The sequence below is a fragment of the Homo sapiens genome, chromosome 4 (assembly GCF_000001405.40).
Source record: "Homo sapiens chromosome 4, GRCh38.p14 Primary Assembly".
Lineage (NCBI taxonomy): Eukaryota > Metazoa > Chordata > Mammalia > Primates > Hominidae > Homo > Homo sapiens.
The window spans coordinates 157,128,665-157,150,715 of record NC_000004.12 but is presented as its reverse complement, the minus strand read 5'-3'; the positions used below and the strand labels follow the sequence as shown (position 1 = coordinate 157,150,715).

At 33.1% G+C, this 22,051-nt stretch overlaps 1 protein-coding gene across 6 annotated transcripts in view; it reads right to left on the bottom strand.

Moving 5' to 3' along the window:
* Positions 1 to 22,051, bottom strand: part of GLRB (glycine receptor beta) — a 95,941-nt gene that overhangs the window by 21,375 nt on the left and 52,515 nt on the right. For 5 of the 6 annotated variants that reach the window (NM_001440545.1, NM_000824.5, NM_001166061.2 and 2 more), the window contains 4 exons: positions 14,018 to 14,247; positions 13,830 to 13,912; positions 11,767 to 11,907; positions 6,757 to 6,909 (listed from right to left, as the gene is read on the bottom strand). In NM_001440545.1, coding sequence (NP_001427474.1) covers positions 6,757 to 6,909; positions 11,767 to 11,907; positions 13,830 to 13,912; positions 14,018 to 14,247 — 607 coding nt within the window. Of the gene's footprint in view, positions 1 to 5,080; positions 5,507 to 6,756; positions 6,910 to 11,766; positions 11,908 to 13,829; positions 13,913 to 14,017; positions 14,248 to 22,051 lie in introns of those variants that run through there. The other variant, XM_047450075.1, reaches the window with a different exon arrangement.

Genomic DNA, 22,051 nt, shown 5'->3' with positions numbered 1-22,051 from the left:
GAAGGGGCCTATAGAAAAGAAGATGACTTTGTCAGGAAAACATTGAAAGATTAGATAAAGGCCAAGGAACAAAGAACCGATGATCATGACACAGCACATTGCACCTGAGAATCTGAAAGAACTTTTTGAAAAGATTAGCCAATATCATTCAAATAGATGTCTGAAAAGAGAGAGGACTTTGTGAGGTAAAGATGTTTTGGTGTCAGAAAAGGGGGACTGATTGAAGAAACAGATGAAAGGATTGTCTTTAAAAGGTGTGACAGAATATTTATAGATTTTGGAGGGAAAAGGGGAGTATTCATAATTCCACACATTCGGTTAGAAACAATGGTAGTGAATTCAAGACTTTTATCATATCAGATATAAGAAGGAAAGTTGAAGAAGTTAAGAAGAAGAAAGTGAACACACACTATGTGCCTTATCTTTGGAAAATCGTATTATAATAGAAAACACCTATTAGCATTTTCTAGCTAAAAATAAGAAATCTGAGCAAATAATGCTACTTTGTAAAAATACTTTAGCATTATCATAATATAGCCTTATATAGCATATATCAAATAAGCTATATAAGGAGGTTGAAGTGAGCAAAATCTTCCATAAACAAGTCAGGGTTGAAGTTATTTAGCTCATCAACATGGAGACAGAATTGTATAATGACAAAATCATCTCAATTTTTCAAGATATATACAGTAACCTCTATGATTGTCTATGGAATGTCCACAGATTTCTTGTCCATCCAATCACAGAGGAAGAATCCGCAAAATAATTCCCTAACAGCATATATACTAGGAATGTATTGGTGAAAAGAGAAAAATTGAAAACTAGAAAAAGAAAAGAGAAGAAAAAATAAGGAAAGAAAAGAGAGGAAGAAAGAAAGGAAAAGAAAAGAAATGGAAGGCAGAGACAGTATGGCATTTGCTATTAATAACCAATGCCATGAATCAACAGAGCAGGTCAAGGAGCAATTGCAAGTGCACACATGCCAACTCCTGTCTCAACTCCAAATAATTTATCTCATACTGTGATAATCACCAAATTTGTACATTTGAAATTGTTGTTAATAAAATGAAAATTCATTTAAAAGTACTACTATTAATAAATTATATTAGCATATTATCATTTCATAATTTTTAGTTAAAGAATACTAAAAGGAAAGGGAACTTTGACCCAAATTATTAATCTTTTTGCATTTATAATTGAAAGTTATTTGTTAAAAAAAGTATTCCCTTTAGCAGAAACTAAAGTATTTTGTGTAACAGAAAAAGATACAGTATAGTTTACTTAGTTAAGAGTATTACAAAACGTTACTTCAATAGTTCTGTGCATAGTTCCTTCCATACTTGGCGAAATAGCTTAAGACAAAAGTCCTTACCTAAAATTCTCCAGGGAATCTTTGATATTTGTTAACAATGGGGAAAGTTAATCACAAAAAGGCTGGGTGAAAAATAAAAGTAGAATACAAAACTAATTTTTTAAAAAAGCAAAATGAATCTAGGGCAATTTAAAGTAATTACTTTATGCTCTATGTTGTCTGCTAACTTTTAGAACATAAAAACTACAGGCCATAACAAAAGAGACTGGTAAACTTATTTATTTAATCCTTTGGGAGAATGTAGGGGAAAAATAGTAGAGTAAGGAAAGATATGCAGAATCAAAACAGCTATATTAACTGGATATCCTGAAATTTAGTCTGAGTCAGTATTATTTCCTTTTCTTTTTAGATAAAATTATAATTTAGGGTCTAATAACAGACCTTCCAAATACCTGCAGCGTAATTCCATAATTATAATTGGAGATCTTAACATCTCTCACCAATAACAATAACCACACAAAAGAGATAAAAGATTTCAACAGAGCTACTAACCAACTTGACGGTAATGATACTTACAGAACACAACAAACAATGACTAATACACACTGCACGTGCACATGGTGTTTACCAGGAGGCATATGCTAGAATGGGCTGTTTAAAAAAAATCTCAACACACATAAAAGAATTGAAATCCGTGAGTATATTCTCTGACAAAGATGGAATTAAGTTAGAAAGCAATCATATTCAGGTACCCATAAAAAACTCTACATTTCTAAAGAATCCATGGGCCAAAGAAGAAATCAAAGATAAGTTATGAAATATTTCAACTGAAAGATGAAAATACAATATACCAAAATTTGTGTACTGAAGTTAAAGCAATGCTTACAGAGAAATTTACAACTGTAAATGTTCATGTTAGAAAAGGAGAAAGATCTAAAACCAATTGTCTGAGTCCTACTTTCAGCAATTACAAAGAGATCAAATTAAATGCAAAGTAAGTAGAAAGGAAATAATAAACATAGCTAAAAATCAATAAAAAGGAAAATAAACAAATAGAGAAAATTAATGAGATAAAAGCTGGTGCTTTGAAAATATCGATAAAATAAAAAATCCTTTAGCTTGAGTGATCAAGAAAATAAACAGAAAATTCACTATTTAATAATATCAGGAATGAAAGATGGAACATTACTACTACAGCCTAACATTAAAAGGAAAAGGGAGTACTACGAACACTTTTTGTTCTAGTAATTCACAACTCATCTAACATCTAGAAATCAATTGGTATAATTCACCAAATAAGAGGAGGTAGCCCACACAACTGTTTAAATATCTACCCATCTACCTCCCTTTGTGTCCATATACTCTGCCTTCTCTTCTGATACTATGGACCAGGGATCAGCAAACTATGACCTGTAGGCCAATCTGACCCATCTATTTTATAAATAAAGTTTTGTTTAACACATCCATACTCGTTCAGTTATATATTGTCTATGGCTGCTTTACCATAGAACAGGTAAGAGCAGAGTTTAACGGAATGACAGAAAGCATATGGCCCACAAACCTCAAATGAAGGTTCATTGACTTTGTTGAAGTCAACCCTGATTCTACTCTCTGGCCTTCTACAGGAGTTTGCTTACCTTTGGGGCAAATGCATTTTGCTCCTAGCAAAGGGCAATATCTCCATTTCCTGGATCTCATCCCCTCTTCCTTTCTCAAGGTCACTGCTCCTGCACTTTTTCCATCTCTCAGTTTTTCCTTCACTACTGGTTGTCCTTCATCAAAAACAAACTAAACATACTATGAATTCATCTACCTTTAAAAAATGAAAAACACTTTCTTGACTTTTATTCTTACCCTAGCTATTTTCTTATTCTTTTTCTTTTTATAGTTAACAACCTCCAATGAGTTATGTATACTAAATATCTCCAATCCCCCCCTCATCTTCTTTCCTGAAGCCAGTCCAATCAGGCTTTCTTCTTCTCACTTCAAAGAAACTGTCCATGGACACCAATGACCTCCCCAGCTCCTTTAGTCTAATGGTAATCTTTAGCTCTAAAAGTCATTGATCCATGAACAGTTGGTTGGTCACTTTCTTGACCTAGAAATACTTTGTTCACTTGACTTTTAGGAAACTGCATCATACTGGTTGTTCCTCATTTTCTCAGTCCCTCTTAGATTTCTCTGCTTACGCTCACTCCCCTGTGATTCCAACCAGAGATTGAAAACCAACTATATTTTGACAAAGTTTAAATTCCTACTCCAGTTTTGAAATTTCCAATTAAACCCAGACTTGCATATCCAACTGCCTATCTGATATCTCCACCTAACTGACATTGGAACCTTAACGTGTCTAAAGCAAAGCTCCTGGCCTGCCCATCTTCTCAAAGCCACTGTATTTACTTGCACCTTTGCCCATCTCGGCTAAGGTCAATTTCATATTTCTAGTTTTTCATCCAAAATAATCTTGAAGTTAACCCTGATTCTACTTTCTTTAATCTCACATTCAAGATACCTACAAATACCTTTTATCTCAACCTTCACTACCACCCATCATCTAATTTTTTTTTTTGCGGGGGGAGGTGGGGGATGGAGTCTCACTCTGTTGCCCAGGCTGGAGTGCAGTAGTGCAATCTCAGCTCATTGCAACCTCTGAGACCCAGGTTCAAGCAATTTCTCAGTCCTCAGCCTCCCGAGTAACTGGGGTTACAGGTGTCCACCACCATGCCTGGCTAATTTTTTGCATTTTTGGTAGAGACGGGGTTTTACCATGTTGGCAAGGCTGGTCTCCAACTCCTGACCTCAGGTGATTTGCCCACCTTTGCCTCCCAAAGTGCTGGGATTACAGGGGTGAGCCACTGCTCTCAGCCCCATCATCAAATATTTATCAGCACCTGCACTACTACTCACTAGACCAAATATTTACCTGAATTATTGCAATTGTCTCCTAACTGCTTTCCTTGCTTCTGCTCTTGCCCGAGGTCATTCTGTTCTCAACAAAGTAAGCAAAGAGATCTGGTTAAAATTTAAGTCAGATCATGTGTAAAAGCCTTTAGCGACTTTGTATTTCATGCTGAATAAAAACTAAAATCGGCCCGGTGCAGTGGCTCACGCCTGTAATCCCAGCACTTTGGGAGGTCGAGGCGGGCAGATCACGGGGTCAGCAGTTCGATATCAGCCTGGCTGACATGGTGAAACCCTGTCTCTACTAAAAATACAAAAATTAGCTGGGCATGGTGGTGGGTGCCTGTAATCCCAGCTATTCGGGAGGCTGAGGCAGGAGAATCACTTGAACCTGGGAGGTGGAGGCTGCAGTGAGCCAAGATCATGCCATTGTACTCCAGCCTGGGCAACAGAGCAAGACTCCATCAAAAAAAAAAAAGCTCAAAATCATCAGGATTTTTCAGCAGATGCTACATAGTCCACCCCTCATCGCTGTTATCTTTCTGACCTCCTTTCCCACTACTCTCCCTTTGACTTGTTCTGCTCCAGCCACAGTGGCCTCCTTGTTCCCCCAATGTCCAAGCATGCTCCTGCCTCAGGAATGCAGCCCAGATGATCACTGTCTGGCCCACTCTGTCCTAGAAATGACTCATTTCTTCACCTCCTTCTTGTCTCTATCCAGTATTACCCTCTCACTGTGGCCTTTCTAACAAGCAGTTTGCTACCTCCAAACTTGCTATCTTACATCACTATCTTACATATGATATATTATATTTATTTGGTGCCTGTTTCTTCCCAATAACATATATACTCATTGAAGCTAAGAAGTGTTTTAATGCATTTTATTAACTATTTATTAGCTATTTATTTTGTTAACAACATCCCCATCTTTTTTAATAGTACCTAACACATAACACAAAACAAATACTTGTTGAAGGAATCAAAATATGTAGAACTGCTTTGCAAACTGTAAAGCAATATAAAAATGTAGCTCATTATTAACTCCTGAATGTGTAATATAGGCTTTCACTCATTTTCTTAATACTCCCTGGAGCTTCTTGGGTATTTTTATCATCCCTATTGACATTTCAGCAGAGTTATTTTTAAAGAAGTTAAATCTGTTGTCCAACTTGTCACAGCTAGTAAATCCAGAACTGGCTTTCAAACCCAAGTTAACTCTAGAGACTGACTTTCAGCCATTGAACTTTCAGCCTGGATATCAAGTCACAGCTCAGGAACCTGGTATCAGAAGTCCTGCAATGAATGGAGATGAAAAATTCTTAAAGGATATGTCAGAAATTGAGTTGTCTCCAAAGTAGTCTTGGAAGCCTGACATTTATATCACTGCATGAACATAAGAAACTTCTAATGAATAACAACAACAAAAATTATTTGAGAGAAATATATATTTTTGACAAGTCTAAGAATTTAAATTCAGGTTTTTTTGGTTATTTTCCCAGTAAATATAATACATGTAATAATACATAGTTTTTATCCATGATGAAATTTCTCACATTTTTGGTTATAAATTTGGTCTGTGTGATTTCAATTAGATGTAAAAAAAACAAATTTCTTCTTCAGATGACATTGCCATTTTCATGGCTTCTTTCCTAGCTTCCTACTCTTTAAAATCTGTATTTCATTTAATTCCTCCAGTAAGTCAGGAGAGAGATTTGCACAAGGCCTTTTCGATGGAAGAAAATTTAAATGTAGCAACTACATACTCACTGAGGAGGTCAGACAGTTCACAGTCTTACCAGTGTGAGTTCCAGGTGATATTCAGAAAACACACAGACACACAGTAATAAAAAATTTTGAAACACTCCAACCAACCAAAATTTGTTGATGCAATGTACATATTTTGAAGTTTATTCAATTTATCCATAGGAAGGGCGCTTGCTTATTTCCTTAAGCAAAGGCTTTTTAGCCATTATACAGACACAATTTTCAAAAGACTGGCTGGTGGTATTTCTATGTCACAAAGCATTAAAAATAAACTGGAGAGCAATGGCCCTCAAGGGACAGGCAACCAGCCCTGATATAGCACACAATAACCAATGGTTGGGAAAATGATGGTTACATAATTTTTCGTAATTTTTAAAAAGTAAATTAGATTACTATTCCCTAAGAGTATGTGATAATACATACTATTTTTCAGAAAGACTTCCTTCGAAATAGTTATTCATTTTTAAGTTTGGCACTACCGAAGGTTTTAGACATAGTTATCCGTGAAAATCACTTATAAATAATTATTTCATGACAGAAAAATAGATTAACTGCTTATAATACTCCAAGGACATGAAAAGAGAAACTTAGCTTAATTATAGAGTGCATAAACATTGAGAAAATCTAGTTCAATATCAAGTTTTGAAGAAAGTCTTTAAACACCGAAATTGGTGGCTAACAATTCTAAAACTCATTGTTTCAAAGTAGTTGATTATATGGTAAGTTAGATAAAGATATAATCTGTTCCTGATGTGACAAAAAAGCATGGAACACCTTACCCAGGGGCACTCTGGCAGCACTCGCGTCCGGGTTGATCCAGAAGGAAAGCCAGGAGAGAACAACAATGAGCAGAGTTGGGGCGTAGACCCCCATCATGTAAAAGCCGACCTGCCTCCTCAGGGTGAAGATGACTTCCACGCATGTGTAGTAGCCTTTCAGAAGCAAACACATTCAAGGCATGAGGTTTTCACCCACACAGAATGGCAAACATCAATGACAGACCTGGAAACGGTAAGTCACTTCCATCTGAGGCAATTTCACAGAGGAAATGCCTCAAAAAAAAGTTTTTCTTTGCAGATATATAATTTATGTGATCTAAAAGGGTGACATTATGGAACCAGTTTCAGCTGACCTTTCGCAACTTCATTATGACATTGAGAAATAGATCCCACATGCTGCTCTACTGTGTCAGTGTCTAGCCTTTTAGGTCATTGTTCAGAGAATTGGCAATAGAGTTGAACTTTTCTTTACCCGTGGGTCCTCTCAGGGCAATGATCTAAAGGAGTCATACAGGCAGTAGTAAATCAAAGTAGAACAAATCTTAAAAAGAAACACTCCGGGACTACACATTATCAGTATAATTTTTCAGCCATATGTACCACTTCTTATCTAGGATGGATGGCAGTATACACTGACTCTCATATATAGATAAACCTTAAAAATTAAGAAAGTATTGGAAGTAAACATTAGCAAGTATAGGAAACCAGTGTTTTCAATCCATATACATAAAAGATGTATATGGTGCAAACATCGGATATTCCTCTCAATTCTTTGCCCACCTCTACTTCAGGCTCTCAAAGGTACTCCAACTGAAGGAAATAACTTTCATTTTCACATGCCAAGACAAATGCAGAAATTGTTTTACAACCTAATTCTAGAGTGGCCATGACATCAACTAGTCCCCCAAATTAATCACCAATTACAGGCAGCCTCACAATAGCCTTTGCCGCCTTGAGAAAGAAAATAGTAACACGAATATGCTCACAGTACTGCATTCAAATAGAAAAGGTATTTCCAGATGTTCGAGATTATTTCTTAAATGTTTGCTCTTTTCAGTTAACTATTTAAATATAATATATAATGCCGAAAGTGCTTAATTTAGAGAAGAATGTCATTTGCCATTTTACAAATGTAAGATTGTGCATAAATAGCAAAATAAAATATCTATAATCGTTTTCTGTTTAAACTCTATATAATTTTTTTAAAATGGTGAAACAAATTAATGAACAATAAATAAATGAAACAATTATGGGGGAAAGAATAATGTTACTTTTTCCTATTTTACAGTTTAAAAACAATATTTACCTGGTCTTCCTAACTGGGAAGAATATACATATATCTAACACAAGAATAATCTACATATTTATTCATTAATAGCACCTACAGCAGTACTTGCACAGAATAGGACCTTAATAAACATGAAATAAAAGAATGGCTATTTATATCCTCAACAAATAGATTAGAAATCTTTCCTTTTCCCAATGTGATTTAGAATCATTGCCACCTCTGAGAGGTTACACAGACAGTAGAGCTAATATGTAACAAAAATAGTTGCTTTCGACTGAAGCAAATTCTATTTATGCCAAATGCTTCCATATTATATTAAAGACAAGAAATGCAAGTGTTTCTTTTTTACAGTTGAATTTAATTAAAATTAGGCAATATATCAAGTCATTCACAGGTTTTCAAAGGATGTAAAAAACATAACAATGAAAAATCTCCCTTTCTTTTCTTTTCCCACCATTCCCCTTAACTCTCTGCCTGGACAAATAAGAACATATGTTTCTAACTAACAATCATGTGCAATATTTCAAAAATAGAATCTTTCATAAGTACAATTGCTACAATTGAGAAGGCTCAAAATATTTCCTAAAACTGATTCTGAAGTACATGACTTTGTAATAGTATCACTAAGTCAAATTAGTTTTCTGTTCACCTAGTGCATATGAAATGTTTCTCAACAAATTATATATTTTTAGGTAGTCTCAGTTGTCACAAATATTATAACGATTTACTACAAAGTAGCATAGTTTAAAATAAAATTTTCCATTCCATCCCACTATGTTTAAATGATAGTCCATTCACATGAGTCCTGCAATTTGGAGCAAGTTTCCATCGTGTCCCTTTTATGAAGGTACCCACTAGGGGAGCTTCACAAGACTTGGATGCATTTAGCAGTAAAATACATGCTTGGATATTATAGTGATTTGCTCCATAAAATTTTATGAGAAACATTTCTTGATCTTTTTTTGATCTTTTCCTAGTATTATTAACATTTATGAGAGGCAGGTGGGCAGCTAATTGATATAAATGTTCATTGGGCAAATTCAATTTACTTTCTATTTCCTGTGAAGTTTTATCCCATTATTCACTCAGGCTTCCAATTTGAGTATTTTTGTATACTTGCTTTCCCACATATTTCTCCACTTTTGTTACTTCTATAATCATAAAAAAGCATAATTTTAATAAAGTTGAAGCTGCATTATTATTTCTATACAAACTAAATATTGGCTATCTTTTTATATATTGCTCATATATATATTTATACTTTCCCATTTTTCTATGCTGTTAACTATTGCATGTATTTTCAATGTCTTATTTTTCTAACTAGATTTCTAATTATCCAAACATTAAAATATATTTTACTTATATTCATATGATAATTCATAAAAGTACTGATCAAGTCCCTGAAACATACTAAGTGCCAAAAAATATTGTTAGGCATAAGTTGTTTTGTTGTTATTTTCTGTAGCTAATGAGATTTCAGTGAATTATTTATGACTCAAAAAATTTCCCAGAAATGCTTATAACTCTTGAGTAATCCCCCAAATTCCATACCCAAATACCATAGCACACCTTCTAATTTTATTCTAAGAACTAAAATGAATTATATTTTACGTTGTTTACTTGTTTACCACATTGAAATATGGCTCTCTAAAGGGCAGGGACCTTTCTTTTATTCACTACTGAGTCCCCAAATGGAGATTTTTTTTAATGTAGAGCTTAAAAGTGAAAAAATGAACACTCCTAGGACTTTCAAAGCTATTATATAATCATATGCTATTACATAAAATTACAAATAAAATTGCTAGTGTCATTTTCATCTCTAAGAAATTAAAAAATCCAATAGAGTCTCCTTCAAATTTCTCAAAACAATTTAGACACTACTCTTTTTGAAATGTTAAGCATATAATCTGGATGTGGGTAACAATTTTCAAACTATAATAGGACTCCACAGGTATTAATCGTATAACAGTATCAGACTCCCTCTCCCACAGCATCACTGTAACTGTATGACCTTGGGCAAGGGTCTATTTCATTAGCCTAATGTGTACAATGAGGATAATAAAAGTACTTAATTCATAGAATTGTTGGGATGATTAAGTTAAATAATTCCTGCAAAGAACTAAAAACAATGCCTAGTATAGCGAGAGATCAAAAACCTATCTACTAAGTACGTGTTCTTATATGACAGTCTCAAAAATCTCTAAGAACTATAATCTTCTTAATTTGAAGTACAAATGGGAGATGGAATACTACTCTTGGTCCCAAGGCTGACAGTAATTTGCCTGGTGACATTTAATAAGTAATAAGTCACCAGTAATAAGTAATTTAATAAGTAATGTATTCACTCTGCTCTTCAGTTATTTTATGTGTTAAATAAAGGAGTGGCTCAGAATTATCAATTAGATCACTTCCATATCTTATTATCTATGACTTCTTCATTGAATACTTTGATGGTCAAATTTTTAATAGCTCTCCATTTTTTACTTTTAAAAACCTCCATAATTATTTAGCAATATATTCGACTATTATCTCTGTTTTCCTAATGTACTATAAGCTTTAAGAAGGAATGCTTACATATTAAAGTTATATCATTTGCTAATGTATTTTGAAGTCAACAATAGATGTTTAACTGTATCCCCAAGCTGCCTAGCATTGTCTTTATCACAGCATTGTAAATATGTAAATGTTCTCTCCACCTCTTAATATTAACAGGAATGTTTTAAATTATATGTTGCCTTGATGACATCATGAGGACAGCATTCTAGCTCATTCTGTCAGCATTCTACAAACATCTGATCTCTCTCAGTTTTACACAATTATACTATATATATTTTATTATTTCAAGTCAACATGCATTTTGCAATAAAGCTTTAATTATATCTATTTCTGAATATTTTTGTTATGATTTACTTCCAAAGGCAGAATTAGGATTCTGCAATAATTTACATGTTGAACTGATTATTATTACTAATATAATAATCAAAATTGAATAATCTTCTTTATATTGCTAAGTGAAATAACACTATATTCAGTATCTAAAACCCTCACTAACCTAGAACTACTAGCAGAAAATAAAAGGTTGAACACTAATCATATTATGACAGTATTGAGTAGTGAGTACTGTACTTTCTGCAAAAGCTCCATGCAACTTAGTGAATGAGGTTAATTTGTTTTCCTTTTCATAATTGGCTGTTCTGTGACCTAGGTCAAGAAGACTGTACAGGGAATATTTACTGATGTCCAATTATTTCACATTCTTATTGCTTCCTGCATAGCATAAGGATCAATGCTTTTTAAAATTAAGAATATGGGCCAACCACCATCTAAAAACTACCCAAAAGACAATGGGTGAACATATATGGATTATATTGTTTATATCTAAAATGTTCAGCCCCAAGTGGAATCCTGCCAGAAGTAGAATTTCTTGACAACATCTGAAAACCACTACCTGAGAGAGTTTTCATTACTAACATAAACAAAAACCTCTCACCACAAGAATTACATAAAGAAAAATCAAGCATGTCTATCTAATAATTAAAAGTTCAAAAAACTCTAGTGAATACAATTCTGTGAAAGACTTAAACATATGAATGTAAAGATAAACTATTTGCTAATTTAATTTTAAGTTTTGGCCACTTCTTTTCTACTCTCCCCTTGGCTATGTATTAATTAAAATGTATCTTTGAAATAGAACTTCGTTTTATTTAAAGAATATTACTTACCCGTGCCTTTATAGTATTTTGTACAGTTACCATATTCAATATCTTCCTTTTTGATATCAAATTGAGGCAAGGCAATTTTTTCTAATTGCACAGGATCTCCTGACTGCCAGATAAATCGTAAATCATCAGTTGTGTAACCAACTATAAACAAAAACAAATAAATGTTAGTTTAAAATATAATTAATAATGCTTTTTAAATATTTTCATAATTCAAATCTTAAACATAGCAAAGGAAAGAAAATAAGACCTTCTTATATGAAATTGTAGTTTAAAATGTAAAGAGGTAAAACCCATGGTCACTAATGGAAGTACTAGTACAAGAGTTAAAGATATTCATCTTAAAGAAAGAACAAGTTTAAATAATAAGCATACGGCACAGATTTAAAATCCTAGGGCATCATATACAATAACTTATTTCTCTATGTCAGAATTAGTTTTTAATGGTCATCAATAAAAAGCTAATAAATAAGTGATGCAAGCTTTCTGAACGTATACATTTACAATCATGTAATATGCTCCCTGGGATTTTTAAAAGAAATGTAATCATTGAAACATCTAAATTTCTTTTAAGAAATCGGCCTGGTGCGGTGGCTGACACCTGTAATCCCAGCACTTTGGGAGGCCAAGGCGGGTGGATCACGAGGTCAGGAGTTCGAGACCAGCCTGGCCAATATAGTGAAACCCCATGTCTACTAAAAATACAAACATAAATTAGCCAGGCACGGTGGTGGACGCATGTGATCTCAGCTACTCAGGAGGCTGAGGCAGGAGAATTGCTTGAACCCGCAAAGTGGAGGTTGCAGTGAGCTGAGATCGCACCACTGTAGTCTAGCCTGGGTGACAGAGCAAGACTCTGTTTTAAAAAATAATCATCATCATCATTATGATCACTGCAAAATTCCCTAAAGGAGTTGCATCACCATAGAAGGCCAATAAAATAATCCCTCAAAGGGACATAATTACAGCATCATTTCAGCACCCTGAAGCACACACATTTTGGGCTTAGGTATGTGGCTACAATTTAAAGAATTTTACAGCATACACTAGTCTAGTATCGAACTCAAAAGTGTATGTATTTTTGAAAGTAATATTTTAGTGCATCCAGTAATGGGATCAAAATGTAAATGCACTGTTGGAAGTTTTCTACAAGTACATCTTGACATGCAGGCACTCATATACAATACATACAAAAACATAAACAGACATGTGCAAACATATAAACACATACATGTGCAAAATCTCATTTTATAGTTAGAAAGAAATAAATACTGCTCAAATTTAGGATCCATTTCGGTACATTATTTAAAAAACAACCACAAAGTAACTTTAGACATATAACCTAGAATACATATGCAAGATGTTTTGCCAGGTAATTATTCTTTACTCTCTGAAGAAATAGACGACCTTATTATAAGATGATCCATGTATTCAGGCTAAACATTCCTTGCATTTGTGTTTTTTTTTTTGAGGTTTATGTTCTACTTTTATTTTCAAAAGATAAGCATCATGGGAAATTAATTAGTACATTGTATAGATAAATAATAATTTCAATTAATACACCTAGGGTACCTTTTAATAAATGAAAAATATATGATCAATTAAACATAAAAAATACAATTTTGTAAAAAAGTTGTTTACATTTCTTTACTTTCATAGAGAATGAATGCTCAGTTGGATTTACAGAATATTTTTCAATGTTTTCCAAATTTTCTGCTAAGAAAATCTGGTTTTAACATCAGAAATGCTATTGAAATTAGGATGTCATTTTCTCTTTTACCTTGCCTGTATTACCAACTCAAATAACAATGGCAACTGGAATGTTAGAAGTATACACCTACATCAATGAACTGAAACAAGGCTAGTACAAAAATGATTTATCTTAATACAAGTTAAGATAGTATTAATAAAAGAGTAACTATAATTTCCCTAAATAAATTATTTTAATGACTATTTATAATCAAAGCACTAGTTTTACCACTGTTGTCTAAGATGTCAGTAGAATGTATTACCCAGACATTTTAAACACTTTATTTTCATAATCAATTATGTTCTCATTTACGTACAGCTCTCCAGTTGCATCTTGCAACGTTGTGTATCCATGGGAAACAATGTCAAGTCCAAAGGGCATGAAAGAGTAATAGATAACCTGGAAGCAGAAATGGGTCTTAGAAATAATTTAATATACTTCTCTGTCATCCATTGATTTTAGAAGGAAAATATAAATGCACAAATATGAAATATAAAAGAGTACCTCATGCTGACAAGGACATCTCCATCACGAAAAATAAAGAGGAGGATGTTTTCCTGGGTCACATCATGAAAATTGGCACTTTTTTCATTTGCAAAAAATAAATCAGGTTTCCATAAACACTTGTACATTGTTGGATCCACTGTCAGTGCATCTGAACCCCTAAAATCACTGGGGAGCTTCAGCCTGGGGTCATTCCATTTTTGTCTCAGGAAGATGTTAACTCTATAGTCCTGAAGAAAAAGTACATGCGTGCACATGTGTATGTTTATTGCTATTTTTAAGAACTTATTCGGCCCCAAAACAAAAAGGGTTACAATGATTAGTGGCACAAATATTTTTGTTCTTCCAACATCAACCAAGATCACAACAACTGTGTCACTAAAGGAGAGCTCCATTAGCAGTATAAAGACACTTGTCTCTATGTAATTACTCTCTGCAGACATTCCGTAGCACTTGCTAGCTCAAACATCAGAATATAACCTTGTTGATAGTTCCTTTACCTTTATACAAACACCAATTATTACAGTTGATTAGATGGTAGTACCATAAAAGCCTGAGAATCACTAAGTATTACTATCATTCTTCCCCAAAACTTTTTGTCCAAGTATACACATATCTTAAAATTAAAATTCATAATGAAATTTAGATTATTACTTAATATCTGATGATTATTGCAACACCTACAAAAATTAATTCAAGAATGTCTAAGACTAAAACCTATCTATCTCATGGAGTGAAGGCTTTCAACAGATACAACGTGGCAAACGTTTTTATCCATTGCAGGAAGACATGCATGGCCCTCTACTTTAGAGGGAACACACATTAGTTTCAAGCATTTTCTAATAAAATATGAATTATACTACCTTAGCCAAAGCATGTGGCTGATAGCCACTTAACGTTATTTTGAACACTCAATATAATTCATTTCAAATTATTTGCTAAAAATCTTCCTTGAAATATACACACTGAAAATTATTCTATTACATTCTGTATTAGTCTGTTCTCACGCTGCCAATAAAGACATACCTAAGAATGGGTAATTTATAAAGGAAAGGGGTTTAATTGACTCACAGTTCAAATGGCATGGGAGGCCTCACAGTCATGACAGAAGGTGAAGGAGGAGCAAAGGCATGATTTACATGGTGGCAGGCAAGACAGCACGTACAGGGGAACTCTCCTTTATAAAACCATGAGATCTCATGAGGCTTATTCACTGTCATAAGAACAACAGGGAAATGACCTCCCCTCTTGATTCAATTATCTCCCACCAGGTCCCTCCCACCACATGTGAGAATTATGGGAGCTACAATTCAAGATGCCATTTGGGTGGGGACATGGCCAAACCATATCACCACCTTTAGGTGCTGTGTTTTATCAAGGTAAATCACCAAAACCCTGTAACTTTGAATTGCTATATTTAAAATAAGCATTCATAATATTATGATAAAATATTATGTCCTTAATTTGATATTAAGGTTCAGTATAAGAAATAACCAGATGAAGCTGTGTAGGTATATTTTACATACTTGTTGTTAAAGCTGTGACCCTTTATTGTGATCAATGACCCTTATATCAAAATACACAGGATGAATTCCTTATTTAATTTTTAAGTTGTTAGAAATATATTACTATCATACCATTATATAGGTATTTACCATGTGCTAAGTATACTTAATGTTAAGTGCTTTACAAAATCACATTTAATCCTCAGAGTTTACACTATCAAAATGCTCTCCTGATGCTTTCATATGCTTCATATGACTGGAAAATAAGACTTAATTGTGTTTTTCTTTTAGTCTTGTAGCTGGGAAGCTAAACATTAACTCTACTACCAATTGCATTAACAATTTCTCTCTCATATCCTGGTGCAATTACCATTGTATGTCTCCTACACATTCAGTTCTTTCTCAATTACTTCATTGTATTTTTCTTATCATATACCTCAACTCTTTCTGAAATAGGGATGGATAGAAAATAAAATAACAGTTGAGATATTGCTTTATTCTTGACAAGAGCATTTCAGTATTATTTGGGTGTTGCTGCCAAGAAATATTGCCAATGTGGCTTCCAGAGTTAGAATGCTTTATTTCAGCCTAATATTAGTTCATCTCCTTTTGATAGAATATTACATATATGTATAGGGATATAAGTATTAAAATCTTATAGGTATTCTTTATTTATTTACTTTAGATTTTTATTTTTATTTTTTGAGACAGGGTCTTGCTCTGTTGCCCAGGTTGGAGGGCAGTGAAACTATCACAGCTCACTGCAGCCTCAATCTCCTGGGTAATTAAAAAAAAATTGTATAGAGATGATATCACATTATGTTGGCCTGGCTGGTCTCGAAAGCCTGGGCTCAAGCAAACTTCCCTCCTTGGTCTCACAAAGTACTAGGATTATAGACATGAGCCACCATACTCAGCCACTCATTAGTATTCTTTATCCAGACCAAAACAAATATCTTTTGGAATGTATACTGGTTGGCTGCTCAGTAATTAATTTCTAAAGATTTTATATCAGTATTTTATAATAATGTTCACAGTATTATCTGACAGAAATTAAAGAAATGCTAGTATTTAACTTCAACATGTTTTGCATAACTAAAAAAGAAGTCATTCTGTATTTTGGGGTGAAAGTTCATAAATTAAGCCTGTATTATACAATATTCCCCTTAAAATTTCCATACACGCACACATGTTTTGGAAGCATAATTCCATGTTCTACCTATTTTCAAAATGGTATGGTTAACTAATCTAAAATTACATACCAAAAATAGCTTTGTTTTTAAATTTCTTTAGGAATTTTAATAGTGTTTCTCCATGTGAAGTTTACTATCCTAAATCCTTCTTGAAATCTTATGAATGTTTCTACACAACCCAAGAATACATTTGTATTTTTTATCAGTATATTAAGTCTAAGCATTTTAATCAGCAGAAGCAGCTTTCCTTCATTTTCTTCCCATTTTGCATCCTTGGGAATCCAGCTACAGATTAGATCATAGACTTTCAGAAAACATTTATTTAAATTCCATCTAAATCCCTAGGTAATTTACTAGTTAGTTCATTCATTCAAAAATTATTTATTAATGACATATTAATTTTCATGGTCTAGTTAGCAAGGATAAAGCTGTGAGCTCCCCTTGCTTTTAAAAAAATAACTATAAGGGATATTGAACATCAGTCAAACATAACTTGAAAAAGGCTATGTAAACATAAAACAAAAACCAGTTCACAATGGACATCTAATTTTGACTCTGAAGATCAGTTTAAGCTAACTAATGAATTGATACCTATACTGAGACCTGTAGTTAGAGAAATCTGGGTCTAAATTCTGTGCTAAATAATTTGCTATATGGGTTTAAGTCAAGTTATTTAACTTCTCTGAGCCTCAAATTCCTTGTCAATAAAATTAGTCCACAGTTACTCTAAGAATTAAAGGAGATACTCTACTGAAAGCATGAAACCTGGCCCCAAGTGAGTACTCACAAAAGTTTATTACTTTTATTATATGTATTATTAACATTATTATCATTATGTCTATTATCACCATTTTGAATATGCATACATTACTATTGACAGCATTCCTTTTCTATTGTTGTAAAGATGTTACCTAGAAGTTTTAGTTGGCTGCTAAACATTATTAAAGCTAACATTTTACTAATTCTTCAAAAGCTTTTAGAAGGCATTTTTTGTATGTACTAAAAATCAAGCACTACATTAGGTGCTAGCCATACAGAGATCAACACAAAATGGTACTAGAAAACAAATCTGAGATTTTCAGACTATTATTCAGATTTCACTGGCTAGAGATACATGAAGTAACATGGCAAACTTGTTGTGTGGACTACTTGTTATTATGGTCCAGATTAAATTCAGTGATTAAAGAGGCTTATTTAAAAATTGATTTTGCCGGACTCTGTTAAACAATCATTCATTCCTTTGTTTGTTCATTAATTCAACAGTTATTCATTAATAAAGACTTCCCATGTTCAAAGGTCTGAGCTATCTGAGAGGGATAAGAACATGGGGTCCATATCCTCAGGAAGTGATGATTAAACAAGTCATGAAACAATTGGTAAAGACCCTAAGGGATGTAAGAACAAAGCAATACTTGTTGAGAGAATAAATGATCACATCAGACACCAGCGATCAGGAAAGGCTGTAGAACTTAAAGCTGGTGGGGTTCCCAAAGAGTAAAAACTTTGACAGGTGGTGGGTGACATGTGGGAAAAGCAAAAAAAAGACAGAGGCAAAAAGATACCACTTCTTAATCAGTTTCATCAACAATACAATATAATCAATCATAATAAGAATGATTAAATATCAAGATAGAGAAAATGGCCCAAATAATTCAGGGGTCAAGCAAGAGACAGTGGAAAGGTAGGAGTTAAAATCAAGGCCAAGATATATACAAAGAACTCTTGAAACTCAACCATCAGAAAACAAACAACTCAATTAAAAAATGTCCAAAAGATCTGAACAGATACTACCCCAAAGAATATATACAGATGACAAATAAGCATATGAAAAGATGTTCAACATCCTTTGACATCAGGGAAATGCAAATTAAAACAACAATCAGATACCACTACACACCTATTTGAATGGCCAAAATCCAGAACACTGACAAAAACGAACGCAAGGATGTGGAAAAAGTGGAAAAAACTCATTCATTGTTGATAAAAATCAAAAACTGTTCAGCCACTTTGGAGACAGTGGTTTCTTACAAAACGAAACATACTTTTACCATATGATCCAGCAACCACACTCCTTGGTATTTGCCCAAAGGAGCTGAAAACATGTCAGCATAAAACCCTTCACTTGGATGTTTATTGTAGTTTTATTCATAATTGATGAAAATGTCATTCGGTAGATAAATGGGTAAGTAAACTGTGGTACATTCAGACAATGGAATATTATTCAGTGTTAAAAAGAACTGAACAATCAAGCCATGAGAAGATATGGTGAAACATTAAATGCATATCATTAAGTGAAAGAAGCTAATCTGAAAAGGCTGCATAATGTACGATTCCAATTATCTGACATTCTGGAAAAGGCAAAACTATGGAGACAGTAAAAAGATCAGTGGTTCCAGAATTTAGAGAGGAGAAAGGGATAAAGAGGCAAAGCACAGATGATTTTTAGGGCAGTGAAACCCTTCTGTATGATACTATAATGGTGAATATATATCATTATACATTTGACAAAACCCATAGAATGTTCTAAACTAGGAATGAAACCTAATATAAAAGATAAACTTTGGAGGATAACGTCTAATTATGTTTGATAACAAATGTATCAATTTGGTGTGTTTATCCATTCATTTACTAAGTGACATTTTTGTCAATTATGAATAAAGCTACAATAATGTCTACATCGAGTCTACTCTTAAAAAGTGAATGCAAAAAATACCATAAACAAAATCAAAGTCAAGAAATACAAGGTTAAGAAAAAACATCCCAAGTTTTAAGATAAGGCAAAAATATTGTTTGTTCTTTCAATATCACACTAAAACAATGTCTAACAAGCCCACCTTAGTGCCTGTGATTCTCCAGGACAATGTAACTTTCAATTGCTACTTTCTATTGATTAGGGTTATGACTGTAAAATTAGATAACTTTTAAAAATTGATGTTACTAATGATTTCTGTCTTGTAGAAAAAAAATTCTTCAAGACTATGCCTATACGTCTCTGTATAACATTAACAAGTTTTGTATTAAATTTAACAATCTAATTTCAGCATTATTTCTTTCACTGCAGTCTCTTGAATTCTTCCTTGGATCAGCTTCACTATGCTGTTGGTTCCCTTATTAGTGCATCAAATAAATCATTGATATGTCTTCACTATAAGTCTGTCTTAAACTTTTAAAAATTATATATTTTCCTCAAAGGGCTAAACACAGAATTTCTATATGATTCAGCAATTCCAATCCTAGGTATATACCCCCAAAAATTGAAAGCAGACACTCCAACAGATACACTTGTACACCCATGTTCATAGCAACATTATTTACAGCAGCCAAAAGCTGAAAATAACCCATGTCCATTAACAGATAAACAAATAACCAAAATTTGGTAGGTACATTCACACACAATGGAATATTATTTGGCCATAAAAAAGGAATGAAATTCTGACACATGTTACAGCATGCATGAACCTTCAAAACATTACCAAAAAAATATCAAGACTAAGAATAGGTTTGTTCAAAATTATTACTTAGAGCAGGAATACAGAACAAAAACAAAAACAAGAAACACAAAAATACCTGGGAGGGTAAGCACTTAAAGGGCTGGCTAGAAGACTGAAAAAGAAAAAAATCCTAAGAATGTGATTTCACTAAACCAAAAGAACAAAAGCTTTGTGATGGTCAACAGCAGTAAGTGCCACAGAAGGTCAAGTACAAAAACAAACAAACAAACAAAAACACTGACTACTTTCAGCAAATGAGGAAGCCACTGAAGATTACAGCAAAAACATTTTCGATACAGTGGTGTATCAAAAACAAAATTGCAGGGGATTAAGGAGTGAATGGAAGACAAAGTTCCCTTCCATATAAGATAGGGATAATAATCATACACTCACAACATAGAGTTTTAGGAAGAATTCAGTGAGATGTTATATGCAAAGTACATGAACTGCACCTGGAGATATTAGGTGCTAAAAAACTTTTTCATTTTATTAGGAAATATCCTTCATGTTGTTGTTATTCCTTTTTAATGCTTGTAGAGTGCTTAATATGCTTTTTTGCTTCAAAAAATTCTGCATATAGTGTAACATGTTTGGGTTTCTCTATACTGAGATGATCTACCTACAATTATTTTGAACAGTCATTCACCTCTAGATCTCAAATCTCAACACAGTGCTAACACACATTTTTTAGCATCTCCTAAACTCTTCTTGCTTTAAGCTGCACCATTGTCACCTCAATACACCACAAAAAAAAAGCTCAAATGGGTCTCTACCCCAATTATTTTGTTTAAATAGAATTCCATCAGAGTCATATTCCAATGAGCATCACCAAAACTGGAAATTGCCTACTTCACTGGTTCATTCAGTGTATCATCCTGATTATTATGTCTTATTTCATTATGAAAGTGCTTCAAAGATTCTTTTCTATTAGTTATGAGGCCATATAATACTATGATTCCACGCAAGTTCCAGCAAGCTTATGTATCTTTTAAGAATATTTCAAATTTTTACAATTTAAGTTAATAGTTTGTGTTGAACATTCATGAAAAGATAAAAGCTCATTAGTTACATGTTTTGGTTAGTGTTTTATGAGTATTTTCAAATAATTACTAGTTATTGGCATTTCAAATGCTTTATATTAAGATAACCATCTTTGAAACCTATTTATTTTCATTTTCAATTATTCAATCACAGTAATTATAGCTCTATCATTTATCTTGCAAGAAACAAATTCCCATCAGAAACAGACCTCTTTTATGAGTGGGAAATTACTTAATTGCTTTTAAAGCACTGGTGACAAATACTATTCATTGTTCATTCCAAATAACACACTATTAATCATTATCTGAAAAAATGGATGGTCTCCAAAAACTTTTAGAACCAATTAACACCCAAATTAAACCATTTCTTCAAGGCAATAAAACATTTCACAACAAGACACTATAATCGGTTAAGTTTCATAAATGATATTTTAATATTAAGAACTGTTTATATTTTGTAATGTTGTTAGAATAGCTCACATATATAATCTTTAATTCATTTGTTTTCTTTGCATTATGGCAAAAATTAGCATTCAAATAAATAAAAGAGATCAGCTCTTATAGCATCTGGCAGCATTATAATTAAAGTTCTGTCAATAGGGCTATTAAAAGCCTGGTTTGAAAAGGATTTAAAATTTAGCCTCAAGTCAGGTTAAAATTCCATATAAGAATTGCAAGTTACCCAAATGCCTGTAAAAACTCTTAGGTTATATAGTAGTGATTTTTCTCAATATATCATTTTTCAAGGTTTATAATTAAAGATTCTTCAATAAAACCTTATGGATAATTAATTTTTCTAGATCTA